At 44.0% G+C, this 27,452-nt stretch overlaps 2 protein-coding genes and 1 long non-coding RNA gene across 30 annotated transcripts in view, besides 4 other annotated features; 1 reads left to right on the top strand and 2 right to left on the bottom strand.

Annotated features, from left to right (window-relative positions):
- Window positions 1-27,452, bottom strand: part of IQCJ-SCHIP1 (IQCJ-SCHIP1 readthrough) — an 828,041-nt gene that overhangs the window by 119,152 nt on the left and 681,437 nt on the right. For 3 of the 4 annotated variants that reach the window (NM_001197113.2, NM_001197114.2, NM_001414414.1), the window contains one exon: window positions 13,070-13,765. The exons of the other annotated variant lie outside the window; for it this stretch is intronic. In NM_001197113.2, the coding sequence (NP_001184042.1) occupies window positions 13,070-13,765 (696 nt within the window). The remainder of the gene's footprint in view (window positions 1-13,069; window positions 13,766-27,452) is intronic. 4 annotated transcript variants of the gene reach the window in all.
- Window positions 1-27,452, bottom strand: part of SCHIP1 (schwannomin interacting protein 1) — a 624,116-nt gene that overhangs the window by 119,152 nt on the left and 477,512 nt on the right. For 4 of the 25 annotated variants that reach the window (NM_014575.4, NM_001394284.1, NM_001394286.1 and 1 more), the window contains one exon: window positions 13,070-13,765. The exons of 1 other annotated variant lie outside the window; for it this stretch is intronic. In NM_014575.4, the coding sequence (NP_055390.1) occupies window positions 13,070-13,765 (696 nt within the window). Of the gene's footprint in view, window positions 1-13,069; window positions 14,117-14,317; window positions 14,527-14,925; window positions 15,079-27,452 lie in introns of those variants that run through there. 20 more of the 25 variants (NM_001197107.2, NM_001394291.1, NM_001394290.1 and 17 more) reach the window with 14 other exon arrangements.
- Window positions 2,703-3,248: an enhancer, noted in NCBI's record as "H3K27ac-H3K4me1 hESC enhancer chr3:159492749-159493294 (GRCh37/hg19 assembly coordinates)". NCBI's record gives its function as "activates a minimal SCP1, AML or CMV promoter by ChIP-STARR-seq in naive H9 embryonic stem cells {active_cell/tissue: H9 hESC(naive)}" and the evidence as "EXISTENCE:reporter gene assay evidence [ECO:0000049][PMID:30033119]".
- On the top strand, window positions 9,596-12,826 carry IQCJ-SCHIP1-AS1 (IQCJ-SCHIP1 readthrough antisense RNA 1). Its single transcript, NR_121669.1, has 3 exons — window positions 9,596-9,634; window positions 9,709-9,904; window positions 12,465-12,826. It is a non-coding gene; the product is annotated as an IQCJ-SCHIP1 readthrough antisense RNA 1 (long non-coding RNA).
- Window positions 13,539-14,116: an enhancer, noted in NCBI's record as "H3K27ac hESC enhancer chr3:159481881-159482458 (GRCh37/hg19 assembly coordinates)". NCBI's record gives its function as "activates a minimal SCP1, AML or CMV promoter by ChIP-STARR-seq in primed H9 embryonic stem cells {active_cell/tissue: H9 hESC(primed)}" and the evidence as "EXISTENCE:reporter gene assay evidence [ECO:0000049][PMID:30033119]".
- Window positions 14,215-14,294: a silencer, noted in NCBI's record as "silent region_14851". NCBI's record gives its function as "represses an Ori minimal core promoter by ATAC-STARR-seq in GM12878 lymphoblastoid cells {active_cell/tissue: GM12878}" and the evidence as "EXISTENCE:reporter gene assay evidence [ECO:0000049][PMID:35858748]".
- Window positions 14,405-14,624: a silencer, noted in NCBI's record as "silent region_14850". NCBI's record gives its function as "represses an Ori minimal core promoter by ATAC-STARR-seq in GM12878 lymphoblastoid cells {active_cell/tissue: GM12878}" and the evidence as "EXISTENCE:reporter gene assay evidence [ECO:0000049][PMID:35858748]".

Here is a 27,452-nt window from a genome sequence, read left to right as displayed (position 1 = left end):
TCCTGGCTAACATGGTGAAACCCCGTCTCTACTAAAAATACAAAAAATTAGCTGGGCGTGCTGGCAGGCGCGCTGGCGGGCGCCTGTAGTCCCAGCTACTCAGGAGGCTGAGTTAGGAGAGTGGCCTGAACCCGGGAGGCGGGTGCAGTGAGCCAAGATCACGCCACTGCACTCCAGCCTGGGTGACAGAGCGAGACTCTATCTCAAAAAAAAAAAAATGTTTCCTGTTTTTCTAAATAAAAGTGAATAAACCTCCTAAAATTGTTTAGTTTATTTGGAATCTATGTTAACTTTGTACTTAGAGCCAATAGTTCCAAAGAGGAAAAAAGAGTCCCAACCTTTATATTTTCAACAGGTCCTCCACTGTATTATGTACGACAGCTAAAATTAAATAAAGTCTCAATATGACTGAGCAATATTGAAGTTTCATTAGATTCTGTATAACAAGAAGTTTTATAAAGACTCACCACCACACCTTGGAATTAAGTGGTCTCAGATGAATTTCTAGCAGATGAAACAGCTGAGGCCACATATGTGTGTGTGTTTATATTTCAGATACTCTGTTCTTAAGGAGTTCTTCCCTTTTTATTATTAATAAATAATAAAAAATAAATCATGACACAGTTCCCTGACTACAAATAACAAATCAATTTTTGAACTGCTTTGAAGATGAAAGAGAAAAGTAAATGCTAAGTAATGGGATGTGTATAAAAATTAAGTGAAATAGAGGTGTGTAGTGGGTCTTGTTTTTTTCCTTTGGATGTTATTATTTCTCATTATTTTAAGCATTGAAAGGAGAAAAAAAAAGCTACTCTGGTGTCAATAAATAAGAGCAACACTCCTTCATGGGTTTTCCTCCTTAAGATTTCTTACTTCTACAATCTCACCAGACCTCTTGGCAAATGGTCCCACCTTGCCCCAACTTATCCTCATTTCAGGTAAGACATTTAGCCTCTTTGGATCTCAGTTTTCTCATATGAAAAGTGAGGAGGTTGGATTAGGAGCAAGATGGGTAACTGGTAGCCTAGGGGCAGTATTCTGGACAGCAGATATTTGTTAGTCTCACAAATGTATATGTATGTTTAAAGTTGTTTGCCAATATGTAATAGTCAAGATAGTTCTCATAACATCTCAGGCTTGGATCTTGGGCTTCTCCTGACACATCAGAACACTGACATCATGTTCTGGCATGGCACGAAGTCAGGCGGCAAGTGACAGCAGCTGCCCCTTTACCCCTGGGACATACCTTCCAGGACACCATGGTCCTCTCCCACTGGGCCCACTGCTCCAGTGGGTTATCTATGTGACCTCTGGAAGCATCCGCGTTTACCACCCTTGCTCTGGCCTCCCTCTTAGCTCTAATATTCTCATTCCCAGTGTGATTGTTTACTAAAAAAAGAGAACTTTAATTTGGCTTTCAGCACACTGGAACTCTATAGAGGTTTTAGTCACGTGTTAGTACAGACACAACTGTTCATCTGCTTTGTTTAGAGTTTCTATATGAGACACAAGAAAAATAAATCTAATATTTAGATCACTATACCACAGTAGAGCAGGTATTCAAAATGTTTTAAAGTTACTGCTGCCTAAAGTTGTTCTTCTAGAACGAGCTCTTATTTTAAACGCTATTTGGGTCAGATGATGGGGTCACTGTAAGATGGATAACAACTCTAACAGATTACTGGTTATACAATTCGAGTGTTCAAAAATAAAATGCCAGTGGTCTACTCTCTTACTCCTTGCCGAACCAATTTTAGAGTGGAAACAAAAAGGACAGAGCACTGGGCAACCCATTCAGGTCCCCTTCCACACTGTTGAAGCTTTGTTCTTTCGCTCTTCACAATAAATCTTCCAAAAAAAAAAAAAAAAAAAAAAGACAGAACACTTAAGATGTAGTTGTTCAAAATAAAATGTCAGACTAGGTCAAAATGGACCAAAAATTATGTAAGACTGCATAAAGAAAAAAAATTGTCTGCAATTTTCATTAAGTAGGGTAATTTTTAGCTACTGGTATCATGAAGAGAAAAACAGGAGACTGAATTGGTTCTGAAACTATTTGAAAACATGTTATTTTTATGAGTGTAGATTAGCATTTAGGTTCTTTTCTAAGATGATACTGTACCAGTTTCCTAGAGGTTCAGACTCCTTTTATTTTGGAAATAAGTTTAACACTACTCTTTCTTTAGGTGGGGAAAAGAGGTAAAAGCTATTATGCTGCTGGACTTGACATTAAAAACACCCTGGCATTTCAGAGCACAGCAGCTTTTCTGCTTTTGTTTTTATTTTTTAGTACTCTAACCTCAAATCTAAATTTACAACACTGCCGGAGATCTTAGGAATTATGAGGAAATTACCTCATTCCCTTTAAAATTTTTCAGAAAGCAAAGTTCTCTCCATATATGGCAAACCAAGAAGGAAGCAGAATCCAGTTACATTCATTTAGGAGCTGCCAGGACTTACCAATTGTTTTGTTCCAGGCACGCCTACAACCCACGTGTGAGCAGGCCAACACTGGCACAGCTGGGTGGCTAGGGAGTGCCTGCCCTCATCTCTCCAACAACAAACAGTACAAGAGTGGGCCTGGCAGGGGGTCCTGGCCACCAGAGGCACCCTGTGCTAGATGAGCCACTTTCTTAGGGACTTTGAATTGGTAACCTGCACAGGAGAGAAAGGCGAAACAGGCAGGCTGAGGACCACAGTGGGGAGATCTCAGAGGAGGAAGCAAGGGGTGTGTGCTGCTGAGGGGCAACAGCATGACCCAATCAGCTGGGGTATGCCCAGGGAGGCACAGACAGACCATCCGCTGTCTGCAGGCCTGGCTGGGAGGCTGCAGAGGGTTTCTGCCCTTTCCCAAGCATCCTGAAAAGCAGCTCCAGCAACCTGTGGCAAATGGAGAATCACCTGCCTCTGCACCTGGAAAAGCCCAACCCCACACACTTTCCTGATAGAAGCTTTTTGTAATACTTTGTAAAACAAAAACAAAAAACTAACTCTGTGAATAACTAAGACATTTATTTCTATACGGCAGAGTTTTGAAGGGATCAATCATCTCAGACATGGGCAATAAAACCCTCTTGAATTGATGAATTTGCAGAAATCAGCTGCAGACTAATGCACTGCTTCTTGGAATCCATAAAAATTGAAGCTTTTTGTTTGGGTCTACTATGCTAATATCCCAAGGAAGAAAGATGCACAGTCACTTTCATGAACCATAAATACTAAGAAGAGACTCTGAGAAATGGAAGAAAAAAAAGAAAAAAAATGATTAATGTGATATTGCTGATGATGGATAAGCCAAAGAGGTTATTTGATTACACATACATATGAAATGTTTGGGTGGAGATACAGAGGCATCAGTAAAATGTACAGATACAAGTGGCAATAATTGGAAAATCTGATACACAAAGTCAGACTAAGAAAGTTGGTAACTTTAGCTTTCAGTAAGTTTGGCTTTAATACAACCTCATATTGGTTAGAGGAAGCAAAAAAATGGGTTTACAAGTACCTTTTAAAAAACTATCAACCTGGGGCTGAACAAAACACTGGTTGGGATCATTCCTACCACCTGGGCTTTTCCTAGCCTAAACATCATCTTTTGAACTACCTACACTTTACGGGAAATATACCCCAAGAGTAGGAAAAAAATGAAAATAACATAAAATGATGCAAATATTGAAAAATCGGTCAGTGGAGAGAAAAAATTAGATTAAGTATATGCATAAATGAGAACAGATAAAGACAAGTGATAAGGATCAGTGGAGAACATGCTTGACATAATTATTTAACAGATATATATAAAGGGCAACAATTACTTTTTATTTTATTATTTTTTTATCTTCCATTTTCAGAAGACAGGAAGATAATTATTCACAAAAGGGAAGTAGTAGCCAAAACTAAGACAAAACAAACACACAGACAACAAAAAGAAGCAAGACCATCTGAGAAACAAGGAGAGCTCTTGCAGATTTTAAGAGAGACTTGGTAAGTGAAGGAGAATGATTATTATTACAACTATCCTGGATATGAAACAAATAATTAAGGACAGTTCAGCCCTACAAATTTAACTGGGGAAATACACAAATAAAAATCCAAATGTATTTCCCTGTCCTTATATTCATTTTTCTATTTCTTGCTCTCACCAGGGAACACTCAAAAACACTACAAATCAGCAAGCCTTTTAAATTCTAAGTACAAGTAAGTGGCATACAAGTCGGAATAAGAAGTTCTCACACATATTCTAACTACGCCAGGCATCTTAATCTAGACTATTTTATGGGCTGCTTCTGAACCCCACAAATACTTTCCTACTAGCCTTTTCTTGGTTTTGTTATTTCTCCTTTTGGAGGGTACTCTTTAGATAGAACAAAATCTGTCTTCACTTGTGGGGTGAGCCACACAGAGATCTTCTCTCCGCTAGCTTTCTATCATCCAGGGAGAGCACTGTTCTGTTGCTAGAAATATACACAGTGATGAGCTGAAGTTTAAAAGGAAGAAAGCAATTTTATAATTGTTCTGACAACATAGGTTTAAAAAAAGAAAAAAATCAACAAAATGAAATCTTTTCTATCAAATGATAAAAATTAGAATCTACTTCCAGTTTTGGAAGCTCTTAAATTATGAAACTGGATCTGTACTCCAAATTAAATTTGGGGAACACCCATTCATTTTTAAAAGAAAAAAAAAACAATTTAAAAAGGTGGCATCTGTTGAAGCACTGAAGTGGGGGCACAGGTCATTAAAAGTGGGAATTAGGAGTCGGGTGACTTGAGGCTGGGTCAGGCTTGGGCTGAGGAAGTTAGGTGAAGATGTGTAATCTTCACAGACCTTAGTTTCCTCCTTTGAAAATAGCATTTGATGAGATGATCTCCCAGAATCCCTGTCTATCTCTAAAATCCTATTACCCTTCTATTGAAAATGCTCAATTTCACAATTGACACTTGAATTTCTACAAAGGTTTAGTGCAAAATAGTCTCCCTGTGACAGTAGAAAGTGCATTTGTGCTGAGAGCACAGGGAGCATCAAGCAACTAAGGAAAAGCACCCGCAAACGCCCTTTTCATTAAAACACTAAGGACCGATTTTCAAAAGTAAGAAAACAAGACCATTCATCTCTTCAGCGACAGAGGTCCAGAAATAAAAACAAATTTCTATTTTAAAGTGCAAATGTAGGCCGGGCGCAGTGGCTCATGCCTGTAATCCCAGCACTTTGGGAGGCTGAGGCAGGCGGATCACTTGAGGTCAGGAGTTCGAGACTAGCCTGGCCAACATAGTGAAATCCCGTCTCTAGTAAAAATACAAAAATTAGCCGGGCATGGTGGCTGGCACCTGTAGTCCCAGCTACTCAGGAGGCTGAGGCAGGAGAATCACTTGAACCCGGGAGGCGGAGTTTGCAGTGAGCTGAGATTGCGCCACTGTACTCCAGCCTAGGCGACAGAGCAAGATTCCGTCTCAAAAAATAAATAAATAAATAAAATGCAAATGCAACATCACAGCATTTGGATAAGCTTTTAAGAAAGGACCTGGAATTACTACTTTAGCACTAATAAGAAAGTTTATAGTGTAGCAACTTTGAGTAAATTAAAGAACTAAAGAGAAAGGCTGGCACAAAATACATTAACCAACCAGATAACAACTGTATATAAAATGTCTACACTTCAGGGAATGTGTAATATGTGTTTAAGGGGGAGGGAGGACTTAAGATAGTTGGACTGTTAAGAGACATACCCATAAGAAGACAAGAGAGAATTCAAGATAAAAGTAGTTATGGGCCGGGCGTGGTGGCTCACGCCTATAATCCCAGCACTTGGGAGGCCAAGGCGGGTGGATCACTTGAGGTCAGGAGTTCGAGACCAGTCTGGCCAACATGGAGAAACCCCATCCCTAAAAAGTTAGTTGGGCATGGTGGTGGGCACCTGTAGTACTACCAGCTACTCCGGAGGCTGAGGCATGAGAATTGCTTGAAACTGGGAGATGGGGGTTGCAGCGAGTCGAGATTGTGCCACTGTACTGCAGCCTGGGCGACAGAGCGAGACTGTCTGAAAAAAAAGTAGTTATGATGTCACCAAAAGAGCCGGGAACCAAAATCAGAAATTGATGAGTCTGGCCTGATTTTTGTCAGGTGTAAGATTTCTGTCAGGAATGCCAGCAAGGAGTCTGGAACTGGAAATGCAGGCAGAGCAGGAAGGGATGGAGGGAGGTGAGGTGATGCCAGTGGTGAGTTGTTCAAGAAGCTCTTCAAGTGTGATGAGGATATCTGCCTCTGTTTTTTAGATGTGCATCCTGAAAATTTTCCTGAGGATGTCTTGAAGGTCCACTATGTACAAACTAATTGGTAGGCAAAGATTTATTTTAATCAAACTACATTTTCAAAGACTGTTCTAAAATACAATGCTCCATCCAATAATAACTTAATTGTATATACACATAGATAGCCCCAGAACTAATGGTATATTTTCAAAATTTTAAGAATTGTTTACATGTGGTTTGCCTGCAACCTAATTTAAAAAAAAAAAAAAACAACAAAGACAAAAACCTAACCATATTTCTTTGAAGTCTAGAGTACATGCCAGTAGACAGAGCAGCCTTTGCAGCTCTTAAGCAAAAATCATCATAAATAGGAAAGTAGGCAAAGAACTTTTCATTATAGTACTAGATATTTCAAGGTAAAAGGTTGAAACACAGAATACATTTCACCCTGGTAATTTCCAGTTACAGTAAAAAGAAAAAAAAATTTTAACACTGTCATGTCATGCTCTCTAACTAACAGGAATAAGTGATAGCTGCATTCCACACAGAATGTTTTCAATGCTGTGCCCCAGGCTGCAGAATCACACAACTTATTAAACTTATAAACTTTACTGTATTTTGTAGGAATACTAAAGACATCTTAATTCAGTCTACAAAAACAGACACTTGTGTAATTTAAACATAGCCCAAGTAACTAAGGAAATAAACTACTCAGCCATTCAAGCTACTTTAGTAGTGTGTCATTGATGGGGAAGAAGTAACTGGGCTGTAATTCTTACAGAATAATACATTGAAAATAACCTATAATTAGTACCATTCTAGGAAGAAATGTAGGTAATTTAAAAAGTGTGCTACTAGCTAATAGTATAAACAAATAAAAAGACACATTATTTTCAAGTACTTTGGAAATAACTTCGTCAGAAGAATTTGCTTTCAATTAACGTGTCAATTAAAATTGTTCTTATCTTCTCATTAAATGAGGAAAATGCACCTGTCAGAGGCACTAAAAAATAATAAAACTGCACTTAAAATGTGTTGAGTCTACAGCTAGAGCTCTTCTCTAATTTAAAAATGATTCCTTTCCTTTTTTAAACAACAGGAGTAAAGACTGGTTGGATGTGACAAGTGATCTCCTTGCTCTCTTGTTGTTTTCTCTTAAGAGGGAGGGAGCAGCCACCCAGCCACCTGAAGGGAGGTGTCCTGGAAAGCAGGATGCAGATGGAATAGAGCAATGGGAAAAGGGGAAACCTCTTTCAGTGATTTAAGCATCATGTGATGGCAAAGTAAAATAGTACTTCCTTGGAAGACAGGCAGCTTCTTACACAGGTAAACATACACCTACCACGTGATCAAGCCGTTCTTATTTCTAGTTATTTACCCAAGAGAAATGAAAGTGTATATTCAGGCCCGGCACAGTGGCTCACACCTGTAATCCCAGCACTTTGGGAGGCGAAGGTGGGCGGATTACCTGAGGTCAGGAGTTCAAGATCAGCTTGACCAACATGGTGACACCCCGTCTCTACAAAAATACAAAAATTAGCCAGGCATGATGGTGGCTGCCTGTAATCCCAGCTACTCAGGAGGCTGAGGCAGGAGAATCACTTGAACTGAGCAGGCGGAGGTGGCAGTGAGCCAAGATAGCATCATTGCACTCCAGCCTGGGTGACAAGAGCAAAACTTCACCCCAAAAATAAATAGATAAAGTGTATACATGTGTCCATAACAATGTTATTTGTAATAGCCAAAACCTAGAAACAATGCACATGTATAACAACAGATGAAAATGGTATATCCACAAAATGGAACACTACTCAGCAAGAGTTCAAACGAACCACTGATATATACAATAACATGGATGAATCTCAAAATAATCACTTTCTGAGTTAAAGAAGCCACACAAAAATCCACACATACTGTGATTCCACTTATGTTAATTTTAGAAGGCATAAACTAATCTATAACATAGAAATCAGATCAGTTGGTTGCCTAGGGACAAGATGGTGGTATTACAAAGGAGTGCAAGGATACTTTTGGGGATGCTAAATATGTTCATTATCTTGATGTTCATGATGGTTTCACAGGTGTGTCAAAACACATACATATGCCATACATATGTCAAAACTCATCAAATTGTACATTTTAACTATGTACAGTTGATGTATGTCACTTATACCTTAATAAAGCTATTTTTATTTTATTTTATTTAATTTTTGAGACGAAGCTTCACTCTTGTCACCCAGGCTGGAGTGCAATGGTGTGATCTTGGCTCACTGCAACCTCCGCCTCCTGGGTTTAAGCGATTCTCCTGCCTCAGCCTCCCGAGTAGCTGGGATTACAGGCGCCCGCCACCATGCCCGGCTAATTTTTGTATTTTTAGTAGAGATGGGGTTTCACCACGTTGGCCAGGCTGGTCTCGAACTCCTGACCTCAGGTGATCCGCCTGCCTTGGCCTCCCAAAGTGCTGGGATTACAGGCCTGAGCCACCATGCCTGGCCAATAAAGCTATTTTTAAAGAAAAGCGTCAAAATAGGCTGAGTCTCCAGAGACAGGGAACAGGCTAGACATGGAGGAACACGTCCCATGAAGGACAGGAAGCCTCAGGGACAAACACAGAGAAAAAGATGTGTAATTATATTCCATTTAGGAGGAAGAGTACACTGAGGCAGTGCCCCCCCTCCCACCCCACTTGGCAACAGGTCCACAGAGCCTTTTGAACAGGAGCAAGAGGGCTACAGTGATGCACTAAGGTCCTGGAGAAGCAGAAGAGAGAAAGCCGACTGTTTGTGGCCCGCTCTCATAAGAGGGAAAACTGTCCAGTCCTGTGCACCAGAGTTAGAGTAGGCAAGAAGATAAGAATTTAAGAGAAACATGAACTTCTGCAAGCAGGACTCCTAATCTGACATCAAAGGCACCAACCCCAGAACCTTTCTTTACTCCATCTATGGCCCTTGAATTTATTAAGAGTGTTCACGCACAAGACGGAATACAAGCCCAGGGCAGGACTGTGAGAAGCACACTGACACCAGATGAGCAGGGGCTGCCCATGGAAGGGGCACTTCTGGGAGTAGTTCTGGTTTTTGGGTAGAGCCCCTCACCCTCTCTGCATGTTTCAAGCATTTATTTGTGCCAGGCACAATGCGAACTACTGGGGATATGGCTGTCCCAGGTGATGACATCACAGTGGAGGGCTGGACCAGGTGCTGGAGGTCTGTCTTGAGCCCCCAGCTCTGAGATGGAGCAAGGATCCAGTCACTAGAGTGTTTCCATCAGGACTCCCCAGGCCCTTCCATGCTGTGACACCAAAGATAGTTCCTGACAGCATCCAAGCTCATCATCCTCCACAGATACCAAGAGAGAGATTAGTTTTCTAAACCCATCGCAAAGTGAAGGTCAGTGCTAGGTTTTAAATCCCACCTAAACATTGTGCATTTTTAAATTTGCCTCTCAATCTTATCTGAATTAGGGATAGCTGATTGTCATCCCATTTTTGAGACCTCAGTCATCCTTCTGCGTGCATCACCACAACTAAGAGGAAGGAAAGAGCACTGGATGTGGAGTGAGGAGACATGGATTCTGTCACTACCCTGCTCTGCAGAACCCAATAGTATGTCATTGAAACAAAACAATACAAAACCCTGTCTACAAAAGAAGACTCATAAGTAAGGGGGTTTTGATGATTTCCCAGTTTACTTATGTCCTTAATTCTAAGGAAGTGCAATAAGAGACTTGTCAATAGGAAACCCTTTAAGTTTCAGGGAGGTGGGAGCTCCTTCCTTTCCTTTTATTTCAAATTATTTTAAGCATTAAAAAAGGGGGCGGGGAACTAGTCTGGTGTCACAAGAAAGAACAAAACCCTGTTCATAAGTTTCTCACTGGGTCTGAGGCAAATCACTTAACCTCTCTGGGCTTCAATTTTCTCAACTGTAAAATGGGAGTTGGATTAGGTATGGGTTGTGTTGTTGTCATAAACATTCATTCATTCATTCATTCAATATTTGAGAACCTACTCCATCCCAGGCATGTTCCAGGCAATAGGTTATAGAGTTAAAAAACAGGCAAGAACTCCCGCCTACATTTCAGAGGGACCAAAAATAGAGGACTAAATAAGATAATGTCAGATAGTGACAAGCACTAAGAAAACAATACACCAGGAGTGCTGGAGTTGGGGTGCAGTGCTGTTACTTTACTTTAGGAAGGGTGGTGGGGGACAGCTTCTCTGAGCTGGTGAGAGTTGAACTGAGTCTGGAATGATGAGAAGGAACCAGACACTTGCTTCCAAGCAGAGGTTACAGAAGGGCAAAAGCCCTGAAGTAGGAATAGGCTTACTTGGTGAAGAGAAGCTATCCCCTTTTCATTGTATACCCCATTCCTAGTGGTGTGTATTAATGCCACTTAAATATATTCATACAAGACATTTTAAAGAGGAGTAAAATATCATTGGATTTGAACAGTTCCTTCAAGGCAGGCCTTCTCTTCCACACGGCTCCTTTGTTCTTCTCCGGTTTCTGTCCTCATGGTCATAAATTCCCTTACGTACTCCAGGCAGCACTAAACAGGATTTAAATCAGTGCTTTTCAATCTTTTATAACAGCGACCCATAGTGAGAAGTAAACTTTATGTTGCAACCCACCATACATATAAAACTAAAGTTTTAAAAATTACCAACTTTACTATGACTCCCTGCAATACACTATCATACATTCTATTTTATTTCATTTTTTTAAATGCTAAGGTGATTTCATGGGAAACTTACTGTTTGAAAAACAGTATTCTAAACCAACACTGACTAGTAATTTTGTTCAAACACAAACCAAAACATGAAAAAATCCACCATTAACCTCAAATGCTACCTCCTTCTCCCTTTTTTCTGTATACATCCTTGCTTTGACACAATGAAATCTAAATTTCTCTGTGTAACTTGTAGAGGAAATGACCAGAAGGGGCATTTCCAGGAAAGCTGGAAGTGAAGGAAAGAAACCCAAATATGCAAATATGCAAACTGTTCACTAGGTGAGGATACACCATTGGTTTCAAAGACTGCCCAAGAAGGAAAGATTCATAGTCTTCACAATAACCAGAAGATGCGTTGGGGGTGGGGGTATGAGGTGGTGCTAGGTAAGCCATCAAATTTTAAGTTCCTGGAGGGAAGGCAGTCTGTATCCCTACCCTTCCCTCACCAGAATTTCAGCCCCATGTGGACTGATGTGTAACTACAGCACTCAGAACCATCCCTGGCACACAGCACATACATGGGTGCTCAAAAACAATTTGTTCCACAACTTTTGAATAATGGAGCTCATTGTCACCATCAAACCCTAACTTTGCATGTATACCCAAGTACTAAATTTTCCTGGAATGTATAAATGTCACGCAATAGCAAACTAACCTCCTGCTTATTTCCCACTCATTGTTCAAGCCCAGGTATTAATGAGGTATTTTTCTCAAGCACAAAGTGGGAAAAGGATATTTTCTATTGCAAGGTATAAGAGATAGTATTGACTGTAATGGAAAGATTCCACGTCTGTTAATGGCCATGGTAAACTCCTAAACAGCTGGAATTAAAATGAGTATGCTAATTTATTAAGTAGTTTCCCAAGGGAAACTAACCAGCAGGCTCTGTCAGCCAAGGGCGCTCTCTGATAGAACCATGGCAATTTCTCTGTGAAACACAGTTACCATCCTCACCCCTGAAGTCAGAAGTGCATGCACCCAATTTTCAGGAGCCCCGGGGTCCTGGTGTCGCAAAAATTACACCCGCAAGGCAAGCATTTTCCCACCTGCCACACAGCTGCCACACACAGAAAGCAGCTCCTTTCAACTACGCCCTTCAGCCCTAATTAGGGTCATCATTAATGATTTCAAATTACAACTGTTGCTTTATCTCAAAGCAGTGCTAAACAGGGGAGCTACCTTCATGATGGTTTTCTTTTAAGTCATTTATCTGCTCTTCTCTCAGGGGCAAAAAAGATGTTGAGACAAGTGTGAACCTGCCAGTGCTTCTTATTATAGATGCAGCCCTCCTCTCCTCCCTCCCTCTTTTCCACTCCAGCACCCCTCCCTGTCTGGCTTTCCTGAATTGAGGCAGTAGCCTCCGGGAAGAAACTGTAAGTGGCTCCGTTATCAAAACAAGGAGGGATTCACAGCAGAGGGAGTGAGTCAGGCGACCGAGGGAAGAACCCCTCCCTTATCCTGACAGGTCCATTTACCCCGTTCCCCCAGGTCAACAATAACTCGGGTTTCATAAAGGAAGAAAGTCTTAGAGGAGGAAAATCAACCCATTCAAATACAGGAGCATCTGCTTAACACAAGACGGAACGAACCCCGCTGCCAGACCGGTGGTGTGGGCAGGCGAATGTGTGCGTGTGCATAGGAACAAGCCTATATATGGATGAGACATTAGTGGCAACGAGAGGAGAGCCACCACGATTGACAAAGCCACAACTATTACGATTTGAAATATCCCCCGCAGGCACTGACTTTTGGTGCCAGAATCTCCCCGGATTTATTTTCAGGCAAGTGACTCACAACCTGGTCTCCATAAGTAATTCCATTAAAATGAGTCGCCGGTTCCACTAACCCGACTTTCCGCTGCCCTCTGGCTGCTCCTCCTTCCTCTCCGCCCATCCTGCAAACCCAGACAGCTCACAGACCGAGCAACCTTATCCCCAGGGGAGCAGACGGCAGGCTCTCTGGCCTGGCCCCCACCCTCGAGGAAGAATGAATGGGGCCGCGGGCGGGCGGGAGCGCAGGGAGGGGGCGTGCGGGCTGTGCGCGGGGTGTGTACGCGTGTGTGCGCGCGTGGGCACGCACCCCGGCCAACTTACGGAGGTGGAGTTGGTCCTCGCCTGGCCCTGGTTCCGTACCTCCTGCTCCCGGAACTGCAGCCCGGCCAGATGCTTCTCCAGCGCCTCCCAATCCATAGGTGGCACCGGGGGCTCTTCGGGGACGCACGTCCCGCCGTCTGGGGGCTGAAGGCAGAGCCCCCCAGCCGCCGGGCCGCGGCCACTGCGCCGGCCCCCAGCCGGCTGGGGCTTTTGGATCGCCCGGCGGGGGCCCCGGGAACAGCTCGGCCGGCCAGCCACCACCACGTTGCCATTGTGCCTGAGGTCCTGGGGGTCGTGCTGGTGGAGGTTGCCGTTGGGCACCGGGGGCGGCATGGCGGTGGTGGCGCTCCTGCCCCCGCCGCCGCCGCTGCGGGTCCTGGCGCTTACGTCCCCCGGTTCCCGGGCCGGAGAGCGGTCATCCCGGTACCCTCGCTGGTCGCGCTCGTCCTCCTCTTCCTCCTCCTCCCCGTCCTCCTCCGGCGCCCACTCATCAATCACCTTCTTCTGGTAGACCGGGAAGGGCTCCTCATAGTCCTCCAGGGCAGACACCAAGTCCAGGCTGCCCCCCGGCGACGATGAAGATTTGCACTCGGAGCAAGGGGTCACTTTGGTGGAGTTGGACTGTGAACTGGCGCGGCTGCTGCTGCTGCTGCTGCCGGCGTCACTGCCTAGATCCATCCCATCCTCTCGGTAATCCTAGGGGGAGGAGGTAGAGAGTGAGCTGCTGGGCCAAGCCTGCTCCAGCCTCCCGCCACCCGCCCCAAATGCCCCGGCTCAGTGCCCCGCACCCTGCGCCCGCTGGGTCAGAGGTGCGTCCCCCAAGGAGGCCTGGGGGCGGGAGCCAGCACCAGCCTGAGGCTTCCCTCCTGCCCGCCTTTCCTCTCGCACAACCAGACTTCCTGCCGGTAACTAACCCTCAAATTAGCAAAGGGGTGCCCAGCCACCAGCGCGCACACTTTTCATACAAGGGGCCCCGCGGCGCGCGCAGACTTTGTATTAACCATTTTGCGCCAGGCGCGCCCCTTTACCCCGCCCCAAGGATTCTCCGAGAACCAGACACTTTCCCAGGAAATTATAATTCCCTGGGGGCGGGAACTGAGAAGGGGGTGGGCGGCTACTAATTTCGCATCTCGCTCTAGGCGCTGAGACCACCCCCCGCCCCGGCCCGGCCCGGCCCGGCCCCGCCCCGCCCCGCCCCTTCCCCGCCCGCGGCTGGGAGCCCGGGTCCGCGCGCGAGCTGAGCTTTACTTTGTAAGGAACCGCTGGCAGTCGGAGGTCTCACTCCCGCCTCCGCGTCTCCCTGGCCGGCCCCTCCTCCCACCCGCCGGAAGGCTCGGGGTGGGGGGCGCTCTCGGCCCACGCCGGGCAGGGTGGTCCCCCGCCTCCCCAAAAGGTGTGCCTGGCCGGGGCGCGGCGGCAAGTCGCTGCAGGCGCCGTCACCGCCCTAGGGGAGGGAGGACGCGCCCTCCTGGCGGTGGAGCCGGTCCCGCCACCGAGCATGCCCAGAGGCTGCCGGGCGCGGCGCAGTCCGCAGTCCCGGTTTTCGCGGCGGCAGGCTGGAGCAGGAGGCAGGCTGGGATGGGGTTGGAGGGGCCAAGATAGGCCCAAAAGAAGGGGGCACTGGGCGTTAGGGGCGCAGGTCCAGCCAGTTAGCAAGGGCGGCGCGCTGGGAAGAGTGGTGTATTTTCACGCCGACACCCGTATTTTCTTGGCTTGCCTCAAGCCGTCTCTGCGTGACTCGTTACCCCGCCGAAGCCACCCGGCATCCCAAAGCACGAGCCTGGCGCCTCCTATTCCACGCGGAAGTGCCCGAGTGACCCTGTGAAGGACCTCCCTCCCCTCACACACGCACATACACAAGCCCATGTGGGAGCCCGAGTGACGTGTGCTCGGTGGTCATGCACCATCATTTCCCTTCCACCTTCCTCCTCGCCGCTTCCTCTCCCTCCACCGCGCAGCTCCAGCCGCCTTGCCGCCGCCGCATCCCCTTCCAAGTTCAGGCTGTGGGTGGAACCTGTTGCTTTAGCTCACGTTTCCCTTCCCCTCCGGGCTGCACGCTGAGGATGACCTCAGCGAGGTGTGTGTAAGGGGAATGGAGGGTAAGTGCGAGAAAGGACTCCTGCCTGGCAAGGAGACAGGGGAAGCGGGTAGGGGCGAATGTTCTAAAGGGTTGGGCGAGCCACCAGAGACTCTTTCCGCCACCTCCAATCAAGGGGACCTTAAAGGAGGGGAAGAGGTAGATATCAGGTGAGGGTGCCCTTGGCACATCCGCTGCCTTTGCTTCCTTAGATATTTCAGGTACCTGAGTCAAACCTATGCTGGCGTTTTCAAAAACGTACGGGCTGCCTGAGTCTGGCAGCTAATCTCCTTTGGAAGAAGGTTCTATTAAATGAAAAATACCAACACTTGGAAAAACATAGATGCATCACAGAGCGCCTACTAAGGATTTCCTGTGAACCAACCATTCTGACCTGTAAGAACTGGGAAACTAGGAAATGCCCTTTTCTCTGTGGTGATTGTGAAAAATATTACTTAATTTTATAACAAATCGGAGAGAACCAATTTCTCTGAACTTCCAGATTTGGGCCTGTTGCTAATTGTTCCCAGTGAATTCTAGCCTGGACCAAATGAATTCCCTGGCGTGGCACAGTCCAGATGGAAGAAGAGGGGAATGCATGGGATTCCTAAGTAGGGAGTGGCTGCCACCCTGAGGATTCTTCTAAGCCCTAGTGGGATGTGGTGCTGAGATCCTTTTTGAAGTGATTTCTGTGAGGCACGACTCTCCTGTGCTAGGTAGACCTGAGCCAGGGAAGGTAATCTAACCTTTCAACTCCTCTGGAAGCAGCAATCTTAGGAATAACTGGAAAAGGGGCCTTCCGGTCTGGCCAGCTGTTTTGTAAAACGGTACTGATGATTATTTAAATTGTCTTTTATGGTAACATCTGTAAACAGCCTGTCTTGTGCTCCAAATACGGTTTGATTTTGAGATTGCTGTGGAGCCCTGCCTGCCACTCCAGCGGGGTGGAGGTGGCCCTGTGAGTAGGAAGATGTAAGTAGGAAACATTTGGTGTGCTGGGAATTAGATAGCTGTTTTTCAGTTCACCATATGACATGGCATGGCTTAGATCACAAAAAGCTCCCTGCTCTGTGGCAGGACACAGGTAGACAGATAAGTACTGATCACCTGGGGTGATGAGAGAGAGTTGTGGTTTCATTCCAAGTTTTGAATATTAGGACCTCCTCAGCCACCCACCCAGACTCCCTCTGAGCTCTGGGCTCATCCCCCTGTTGCCCAGATGGTCCATGTTCAGGGAATGCAAAATAAGGCCTAAGAAAAATGTTTGGCAAAGTAAGTCTAGTGCCAAAAATGCATGGCATTTCAAAGCCAAATATAAACATCTTTGAATTACCTGTACTTTTAAATTATTTTCCGACCAGATAATTTCTGGATCAGATGGGAAAGTACCAGGTTTCCCTTCTTTTCTCTTCATGCAAGGTGCCTGGCTAGCCCAGTTTCCTTTCTGTTTCCAGCCTTCCATCTCCTGCCAGGAACCCTCCCACTTTGGAACAGGAAGCCCTGCCAACTCCTAGGCCCAGCAACAGCCTGCAGATATGTCCAGCAGGATAGGGAGATGATTTGCAAAGTGATTGAAAGATTCTGTCTTCCTGTTTACAGGGACATTTTTTCAAGTTAGGAGCTTGGAGCTTTCAGACTTAGATTTGTCTCTTGAAACCTTTGTAAATTAGACATCAGAAGTGTGGGATAAGCACCTTTGTGCTCTGGCTCCAGCACCTTTCCCCATCAATCAACAAGTCCTGTCAATTCTACGTAAGTACAAGATCCCTCTCAAATACACACTGCCCCCACCCCAGTCTAGGCCGCTGTGTCCTGAAATTACTAAAGTTTCCCAACTGATTCCTGCCCATTCTCTTCATGCAGCCAGAGTGGCCTTACTAAAATGCAAATCTGAACAAGTTTCTCCCTTGCTTCATTAACTACTCCCCTACCCACCCAGGTCTACTCACTGCTCTTAAAGGAACTGTTTCTCCTCCTCCACCCCACTTCTTTTGGTAAATTTTTACTCATCCTTCAAGTCTCAGCTTAAATGTTACTTCCTCAGGGAAGGCTTGCCTGATTCTCTGTACCTGCCCTTACTGGGTCGGGTGACATTCGCACGTGCCCGTGACACTCACTGCATTTATCTTATGCACTGTATTGAGGTTGCTGTTTAATTGCTAATCTTCTCACTAGACTCATAAGAAATACTTTTATATCAAGACATAGGCCAAACATTCATATAAAAATATATGCAAGGGAAAGAAAGTTTCATAAAACTCTTATTTTGTAAAATCATATTCGAATTCATGTAAAACTAAATCTGGTCACACCTTACTGCATTGACTTCCCAACCCTTAGATGGGTCAGGGCTTCTAGTGTGAAAAAAATACTCTAAATTCCATGAAGTGGGGGACAATTTCCCTCATTCACGGTAATTGGAATGGAATAGGAGCTTAACAGGTATTTGTTGCTGGAATTATTAACGATAATATCTAATTCATATAATCCTCGATCCTATGAAGAAACTACTATTATCCCCACTTACAGATGAGGAGGCTGAAGACAGTGAGGTTAAGTAACTTGCCAAGTGTCAAAAAGCTGGTAAGGTAGATGGCAGAGCCAGGATTTGAACCTGAGTAGTTTGCATTCAGAATTCTTGTCCTAGTCACTCAGCTTAGTATCCTTTGGTCAAGGTGCATGTGAATGAATTTACCAAGCAAAAATGTCAGAAAGGGTCTCCTTGCAGCTACTTCAAACTAGATCTCAGTCTGCCCTGCAGAGGCTCCTTGGGCAGTATTTATGTCTGTGCAGTGAAGAAGGCATCTGGCAAGAACAGCTGTTCCCCTTTGCTCACATGTACTCAACCTCCTAAACCACCAAGTCTAGCAATATTTAGCAAGTAGGGAGATTTAATTGTATAAAGGAAGAGTATAGATACTTCCAAAAATGCAATTTCACATTGTTATGAACTATGTGCTGTATATCCCCCCCACCCCCCTGCAAAACAAATCCTTTAAAAAGAAAGCCACCATGAGACTGGGGTATTTATTTTGTCATCAGTAGGAAACTGTCTAGATTAATACTTAAAGATAGGGGTAAGAAGATCATGTTCCTCAGGGGTCAGTGCTATTTATAGGATTTTAATCTGTAAAGGCAACATTTGAGAAAGGACATGATTGAAATATTTGAATCAAAGAGTATGAATAGACAGGAAAATATTTATTTGCAGAATTTCCAAACTAATTCTTATATTATTAGCCCCGATGCTGAACCTTAAGTCGTGGCATTTAGAGTAATAAAGAAATGGCTGGCAAAGGGTTTGTATTTCATCTTTATTACATGAATTACATGCAGGTCACATGCAATACACAGATGCTCTCCTATTTAATCACCTGAATATAACTACATGGAGATATTTAACAGCCCTGTGGGGTAAAGGGTCCTGGATACAGAACATCTGGGGTTTGTTTCTGGCCCTATCTCTAACCAACTTTATGACCACAGATTCCTCATGAAGGAGCCCAGACACTTGATCACAGTGTTTGGCAAATAGTAACAATTAATTAAATGAATAAATAATGAGTGAACTAAAAAGCTACTTCCAGCTTGAAGACTATGGATTTCATTCTAGAAACAATGAGAAATATAGTATAAAAATGTCTCCGAATCTTTTCATCACCTTCCTTGTTGGGTGATACAAAGTTGGTTCCTCCACTAATTAAAAATCCAGATCTATCTCTATTAGACAGGTTGGCCTTCTTGGATGCATGGTAGCTCTCTTTTATTTCTGTAGAGCCAATGGGTTAATCTTAACTTACTAGTCTATACGTGTAGATACTTTGGAGATGGATTCTATGTACACCTAAAATTATTTTCTTCTCACTTTCACTTACAGAGCTATATTTTAATGAAAATATGTCCTTTAAAAAATTAACATATTAAATGTTTTTATTTTCTAGCAAACCACGAGATTATATTTGTTTTCTACATTTTCCTCAATTAAAAAAATGAAATGGCAAAATATAGGCAAAATGGCACTTAAAAGATATATCCAACAACCTATTTTCCAAACTTGAAACCAGGACACCTGGCTTGACAAACACTACAGTGCTTACAGAAAGTAGGTGAATGTATGTTTGAAATGAAGATTATCCTGAATGATCTGTAGATTGGCAAATGAAGCAACCCTAGCTGCAGCAGAGGGATGGTGTCTTTATCAGAGAAAAGTCACACAGAGGGTGTCAGTCAGGACCTCAGCATGTGGTTGCACAGATTGTGCCCTGTATAGTGCCAGGATTGTGAACTATACAACAGGTCTCCTCCAGGAGGGACCATTTGGCACCATTCACATAGATGGCAATGTGAATGGTGCCCTCTGGAGTTGTGCAGTGTACAATCTGCACAACAGTACACAGAATCTCTGCAAGAATTCCATTGGTAGGAAATGTGCTCTCTTGACAGGATTGGAAGAGGCAGCCTGCTGTTCTTTTTAAAATAAAGTCATTCCTCAGATTAGATGGCAATGACAAAAATTCAACCAAAATCTTGTTTTTTTCTTTTTCCAGAAGGTTTCTGCCACTATATTCTACTTTCCTTAAGTTGCTAGCAATTCTCAAAAATGCAAGTCTGGGCCACGTGTGGTGGCTCACGCCTGTAATCCCAGCACTTTGGGAGGCTGAGGCGGGCGGATCACAAGGTCAGGAGTTCGAGACCAGCCTGGCCAACATAGTGAAACACCGCCTCTACTAAAAATACAAAAATTAGCCAGGCATGGTGGCGGGCACCTATAATCCCAGCTACTTGGGAGGCTGAGGCAGGAGAATTGCTTGAACCCAGCAGGTGGAGTTTGCAGTGAGCCAAGATTGCGCCACTGCATTCCAGCCTGGGTGACAGAGCAAGACTCTGTCTTGGAAAAAAAAAAATGTAAGTCTGTAAGTAACTCTGAACTTACTTTTTGAGCTTCATTGAAGAGAATAAATTGAACAAAAGGGCATTTAGAAAAAGGTGGGGAAGTTTGTAGACAACTGCAAGGGTCAGGGAAGCATTATAAGTCATAGGCATGGAAGCTCATGTATACATGACTCTAATATAAGATGAAATGTCTCCAAAACCGCATGCCTTCTACTTTAAAGTGTTTAGCTTATCAAAGAGGAACATTTTCACAAGATACTCTAGGAATTTAAAACTGTTTTGGTCATGTCTTGACATAATTCTGGAAACCTTATAACGTCAGAAAATAGCATTGTCAGTGCCACACAGCAGGAGGCATGGAGGTAGCTTGGTGGGACAGAGGAGAACTCTTCAGGATACTTGGCTCTGCCTCTGACTAGCTCTGTGTTTATGGGCAAGACCATCCCTGCAGCTAGCTCTCTGGGCCACTGGCTTCCTCACGAAAGCAGAGTTGTATGAAATTGTCTGAGCCTTAGAAACTGCCAGAATTTCATGGGCTGTAACTTAGGTGCCTCCAGGGGCCAGGCGGGTGAGGTAAATGAGTGAAGGGGTCACCACCGGTGACAGGGAGTTCCAGGTCTGAGTCATTAAAGTCACTAAACCACACAGCACAAAGGCATCTGATATGGTTTAGCTCTGTGTCCCCACCCAAGTCTCATCTTGTAGCTCCCATAAGTCCCATGTGTTGTGGGAGGGACCTGATGGGAGATGATTGAATCATGGGGGCAGCTCTTTTCTGTGCTATTCTGGTGATAGTGAATAGGTCTCATGAGATCTGATGGTTTTAAAAATGGGAGTTTCTCTGCACAAGGTCTCTTTTTGCCTGCTGGCATCCACACAATATGTGACTTGCTTCTCCTCACCTTCCACCATGATTGTGAGGCCTCCCCAGCCATATGGAACTATAGGTCCAATAAACCTCTTTCTTTTGTAAATTGCCCAGTCTTGGGTATGTCTTTATCAGCAGCATGAAAACAGACTAATACAGTAAATTTGTACCAGTAGAGTGGGGTGCTACTGAAAAGATACCAGAAAATGTGGAAGGGACTTTGGAACTAGGGAACAGGCAGAGGTTAGAACAGTTTGGAGGGCTCAGAAGAAGACAGGAAAATGTGGAAAAGTTTGGAACTTCCTAGAGACTTGTTGAATGGCTTTGCCAAAAATGCTGATAGTGATATGGACATTAAGTCAGGCTGACTGAAGTGGTCTCAGATGGAGATGAGGAACTTGTTGGGAACTGGAGCAAAGGTGACTCTTGTTGTTTTAGCAAAAAGACTGGTGGCATTTTGCCCCTGCCCTAGAGATCTGTGGAACTTTGAACTTGAGAGAGATGATCTAGGGTATCTGGCAGAAGAAATGTTAAGCAACCAAGCATTCCAAAGGTGACTTAGGTGCTGTTAAAAGCATTACGTTTTAAAAGGGAAACAGACCATAAAAGTTTGGAAAATTTGTAGCCTGACAATGCAGTAGAAAAGGAAAAACCCATTTTCTGAGGAGAAATTCAAGCTGGCTGCAGAAATTTGCATAAGTAACAAGGAGCTGAATGTTAATCCCCAAGACAATGGGGAAAATGTCTCTAGGGCATGTCATAGGTCTTCATAGCAGCCCCTCCCGTCATAGACCTGCAAGCCTAGGGGGTAAAAGTGGTTTTGTGGGCCGTGGGCCAGGCCCAGGGTCCCTGTGCTTTGTGCAGCCTAGAGACTTGGTGCCCTATGTCCCAGCCGCTCCAGCCATGTCTGAAAAGGGCCAACATAGAGCTCAGGCTGTGTCTTCAGAGGGTGCAAGCCCCAAGCCTTGGCAGCTTCCACGTGGTGTTGAGCCTGTGAGTGCATAGATGTCAAGAACTGGGGTTTGGGAACCTCCACCTAGATTTTGAAAGATGTATGGAAATGCCTGGATGCCCAGGCAGAAGTTTGCTGCAAGGGTGGGGCCCTCATGGAGAATCTCTGCTATGGCAGTGTGGAAGGGAAATGTGGGGTCAGAGCCCCCAAACAGAGCCCCTACTGAGGTACTGTCTAGTAGAGCTGTGAGAAGAGGACCACCATCTTCCAGACCCCAGAATGGTAGATCCACCAACAGCTTGCACTGTGCACCTGGAAAAGCCACAGACACTCAACAACAGCCCGTGAAAGCAGCCGGGAGGGAGGCTGCATCCTGCAAAGCCACAGAAGCAGAGCTGCCCAGGACCATGGGAACCCACCTCTTGCATCAGTGTGACCTGGATAGGAGACATAGAGTCAAAGGAAATAATTTTGGAGCTTTAAGATTTGACTTCCCTGCTGGATTTCAGACTTGAATGGGGCCTGTAGACCCTTTGTTTTGGCCAATGTGTCCCATTTGGAATGGCTGTATTTACCCAATGCCTGTACCCCCATTGTATTTAGGAAATAACTAACTTGCTTTTGATTTTACAGGCTCATAGGTGGAAGGGACTTGCCTTATCTCAGATGAGACTTGGACTGTGGACTTATGAGTTAATGCTGAAATGAGTTGAGACTTTGGGGGACTGTTGGGAAGGCATGATTCGTTTTCAAATGTGAAGATACAAGATTTGGGAGGGGCCAGGGGCAGAATGATATTGTTTGGTTCTGTGTCCCCACCCAAGTCTCATCTTGTAGCTTCCATAATTCCCATGTGTTGTGGGAGGTACCCAGTGGGAGGTGATTGAATCATGGGGGCAGGTCTTTCCCATGCTGTTCTCATGATAGTGAATGGGTCTCACAAGATCTGATGGTTTCAAAAACAGGAGTTTCTCTGCACAAGCTCTCTTTTTGCCTGCTGCCATCCATATAAGATGTGACTTGCTCCTCCTTCCCTGCTGCCATGATTGCGAGGTATCCCCAGCCATGTGGAACTGTAAGTCCAATAAACCTCTTTCTTTCTTTCTTTTTTTTTGAGAGGGAGTCTTGCTCTGTTGCCCAGGCTGGAGTCCAGTGGCGTGATGTTGGCTCACTGCAAGCTCCGCCTCCCAGGTTCTTGCCATTCTCCTGCCTCAGCCTCCCGAGTAGCTGGGACTACAGGTGCCTGCCGCCACGCCTGGCTAATTTTTTGTATTTTTAGTAGAGACGGGGTTTCACTGTGTTAGCCAGGATGGTCTCGATCTCCTGACCTTGTGATCCACCCACTCAGGCCTCCCAAAGTGCTGGGATTACAGGCGTGAGCCACCGCACCCGGCCAGCCTCTTTCTTTTGTAAATTGCGCATCTCCGGTATGTCTTTGTCAGCAGTGTGAAAACGGACTAATACAGCATCCAAATTAAAAATCGGAATGAAAAGCAGGTTTCATCCTCAATTCATCCCTAGATCACCACTTGGACCCCAGCTCTTAGCTCCAGATTTCCAGAGTTCCAAGTCTACATGAACATGAAAGAGTCAGGGAGACTGTACATCTTGGCTTGGGCAGGATGGTCCTGCTTTATACTTGTTGTCCTGGCATAATTATTAATGGCACCCTCCTTCACTCTCAAAAGTGTCCTAGTTTACATGAGAAGTCTTAGAGCCATCCAAAGTCAGGGGGAATCAGTGACTAAACACAAACTTTTAGGAGCAAGTTCATTTATTCAAGTTTGTGCAAGCCTTCAGATGAAGCTAAGTAGATTTGGCATTGTTTTGTAAGTATAAAGATATTTAAATAAACTTCCAAAATATCCCAACAGAACGGTTCAATAAAAGCAGTATGTCATGAATTTTAAAATCATAGACAATATAGGAAAGGCTATCAATATGTGAAAAATTTTGAAATTCACTAATAATCAAGAAAAATTTCAATAACAATGAGGTAACATTTTGCCTACCAGAGTATTTAAAAATTATTTAAAACTCTAATACCAGGTGTCAGGATAGGTGTGATCAAAGGAACTCTCATATACCGCTGATAGGTTTATAAATTGACTGATACAAACTTTCTGGAATGATATTTGATAACATGTTTTAAACGTCTTTATGAAGTTTATATCCCATAACCTGTTATTAATTCAACACATACTTATTGAACAGCTACTATGTGTCAGGCACTGAGGGATAAAGTGGTAAGAGAGACAAATGCTATTTTCTCCAAGTGGGATTTAAGTCTAGTGGAGGAACAGACATTCCAGGGAAAAAATACACAACAATTTAAATTACAGTTTGCAATAAGTACCCAAAAAGTGGACTCAAATGATGCTAAGAGAGCATGTGGTTAGTGCATGCACTGGGGGAGGTATCAGGAAATGGGTTGAGCAGCTGAAGAGGGAGGGAAAGGTGAATAAAGTCTTGAATAAAGGCTTGAATAAAGGTTTTGAGGATGGAAGAAGCTTAACACATTGGAGTAACGGGAAGGAATCACTAAGCTGGAGTAAGAAACAGTGGTAAGCTGATGGTGGAGAGTGAGGAGGGGTTGCAACTAAGATCTTTATCCTAACAGCCACTCAAGGATTGTGAAAGCAGACTGGTATTTTTGAAACTTTCTGCATGGTGGAGAACTGAGAAATGAATAGGTCAGGACAAGGCTGGGTGCAGAGACTAATTAGGAAATACATACAGCAGTCCAGGAAGGAGATGATGGTAGATTCAATGAAGATTGGGAAGACAGAGAGAAATAGAAATACTAAAGATATTTAGGAAGTCAAATCAACAGGATCTAGTGACTAAATAGATGGGGGTGGTGAGGGAGAGAAATGTCACTGATGGGTTCCAATTTTGTATCATAAGCAACTTGGTGGAAAGATGGTGTCACTTTACTGAAATGGGCAGTAGGAGGAGAAGGTTTTGGTAGGGGAGAAAAAAACAGGAAAGACAGTGAATCCTTTTTGGACGTTCTATATCTAAGATGTTATAAGACATACAAGTGGAGATGACAAGTAGATATTTAGCTATGTAAGTTTGGAGCTTAGCAGAGAGATCTGGGGCTGAAGATATAAAGATGGGAATCATAGCATATGGATGGTATTTGAAAGCTTGGTTTTAGGTGACATGATCTTGAGACAAATATGGAGTGAGAAAAGAAGGCCAAGTTTCTAGTCCTAACGGATTCTAGCACTTATAGAACTAGGAGAAGAAGCATGAGTTTGTAAGGAAGATGAGGAGCAGAAGTGGGGAAGGGCCAATAGTTACTCTTCTAATAATCTAGCCTAGGGACACAGAAATGAGGATCTAGATTTATGCACGAAGAGGCTCATTGTAGCATTTACCGTAGTGAAAAATTAGCTTCAACCTCAAATGTCAAAAAATAGATGTTTACATACGTTGTGACACATTAATTCTGGGGAATAAATGAAGTCAAATAAGATGCTTTTGAAAATTATAACATTAAGTGAAATGATACGGTTTGGATCTGCATCCCTACCAAATCTCATGTTGAATTATAGTCTCCAGCTTTGGAGGTGAGGCCTGCTGAGAGGTGGTTGGATCATGGGGGTGGATATCTCAGGAATGGATTAGCACCATCCCCTTGGTGCTGTTCTCGTAATAGTGAGTTCTCGAGAGAGCTGGTTGTTTAAAGGTGTGCAGCACTTCCCCACCCCACTCCCTCTTGCTCCTGCTTCCACCATGCGAGACACCTCACTCCCACTTTACCTTCTGTCATAAGTAAAAGCTCCCTGAAGCCTCCCCAGAAGCAGATGCTGTCATGCTTCTGTACAGCCTGCAGAACTGTGAGCCAATTAAACCTCTTTTCTTATAAATTACCCAGTCTCCAGTATTTCTTTATAGCAATACAAGAACAGACTAGTACAGTGAATAAAAGAGGGTATAATATTATACATACAACATGATCACATTAAAAAAATTAAATGGTTATATGCCTAGAAAAAAAATGTAGTGGAATGTTAACAGATGTTAACTATGGATGGTAAGATTGCAAATGATTTCTTACCTTTGTATCTATTTGTATTTTTTAGTTTCTTTGCAATAATCACAAGATTGGTGGTGTTTTAGTCCGTTCTTGCACCGCTATAAAGAAAAGAGGTTTATTTGGCTCACAGTTCTGTAGGTTGTACAGAAGGGGAGGCCTCAGGAAACTTACAATCATGACAGAAGGTGAAGGGGAAACAGGCACATTTTACATGGCCAAAGCAGGAGGAAGAAATAGAGCTGGGCCTGGGTTGTGGGTGGGTGGGGGAGGGTGCTACACACTTTTGAATAACCAGATCTTGTGACAGCTCACTCACTGTCACGAGAATAGCCCTGAGGGGATGATGCTAAACCACGCATGAAGTATGTACGAAGTATCCACCCCTATGATTCAATCACCTCCCACTAGGGCTCACCTCCAACATTGGGAATTACAATTCAACATGAGATTTGAGGCTGGGCGTGGTGTCTCACACCTGTAATCCCAGCACTTCCTGGGAGGCCAAGGCAGGCAGATCATGAGGTTAGGAGATCGAGACCATCCTGGCTAACACTGTGAAACCCCATCTCTACTAAAAAATACAAAAAAATTAGCTGGGCATGGTGGCGGGCACCTGTCGTCCCAGCTACTCTGGAGGCTGAGGCAGGAGAATGGCATGAACCTGGGAGGCAGAGCTTGCAGTGAGCCGAGATCCTGCCACTGCACTCCAGCCTGTGTGACAGGGTGAGACTCCGTCTCAAAAAAAAAAAAAGAAATAATTGTTCAGAAGAGCTGGAATTAATTTCTATAAATTCTGTGATGAATCCCTTTATAAAACAATAATTTTATAGTTCCATAAATCATCCACTAATCTGAAGTTTTTGAATATCAGATTTTCTTTCCAAATATAGACTGCATCAGCACACTATGGGGTCATAACAGACTGAAGGAGAGGTTGGCAAACTTTTTCTGTAAGGGATTAGATGGTAAATATTTTTGGCTTTGTGAGTCATATGGTCTCTGTTGCATATTCTTTTTTGTTTTTTTAAAGCAACCTTTTAAAAATGTAAAAACTTGTAGCTCTCAGGCCATAAAGAGTAAATGACAGGATAGATTTGGCCCACTGGCCACAGTATGCTGACCCCTGGACTAAAGGATGAATGCACAACAATGCATACGTACTTTTTAAATAAAAAGCTAACATAATATTGGAACTGTAGGTGAATCTTCGATCATTAGAGTACTAGAACCAGTTTGTATCTATTTTCAACAGGAAGCCGACTAAATGGAAAAAGTCTAAAAGAGCAATACTTTAAAAAAAGTTTATGTGTTTTTAATGGGAAATTGATCCCATGCAATTATGTCAAAGAGTTGTTATTTTTAACCTAGAAAAGTAAAAGCTAAGGGGAATTTTTTTTTGTTTGTTTGGAAAATGAAGAGTCTTTTAATAGTTCTTCTAAAATCTTAGGTTTTTGATATTATGAGGGGAGTGTTGCTGTTATATACAAGAAGCTATTCAGTTGTTCATACCACAAATTTGGGAGCCATCCTTGTCTCCCTCCACCC

Source organism: Homo sapiens, chromosome 3 (genome assembly GCF_000001405.40).
Source record: "Homo sapiens chromosome 3, GRCh38.p14 Primary Assembly".
Classification (NCBI taxonomy): domain Eukaryota; kingdom Metazoa; phylum Chordata; class Mammalia; order Primates; family Hominidae; genus Homo; species Homo sapiens.
The sequence above is the reverse complement of the archived record's forward strand: the minus strand, read 5'-3'. Positions and strand labels throughout refer to the sequence as shown.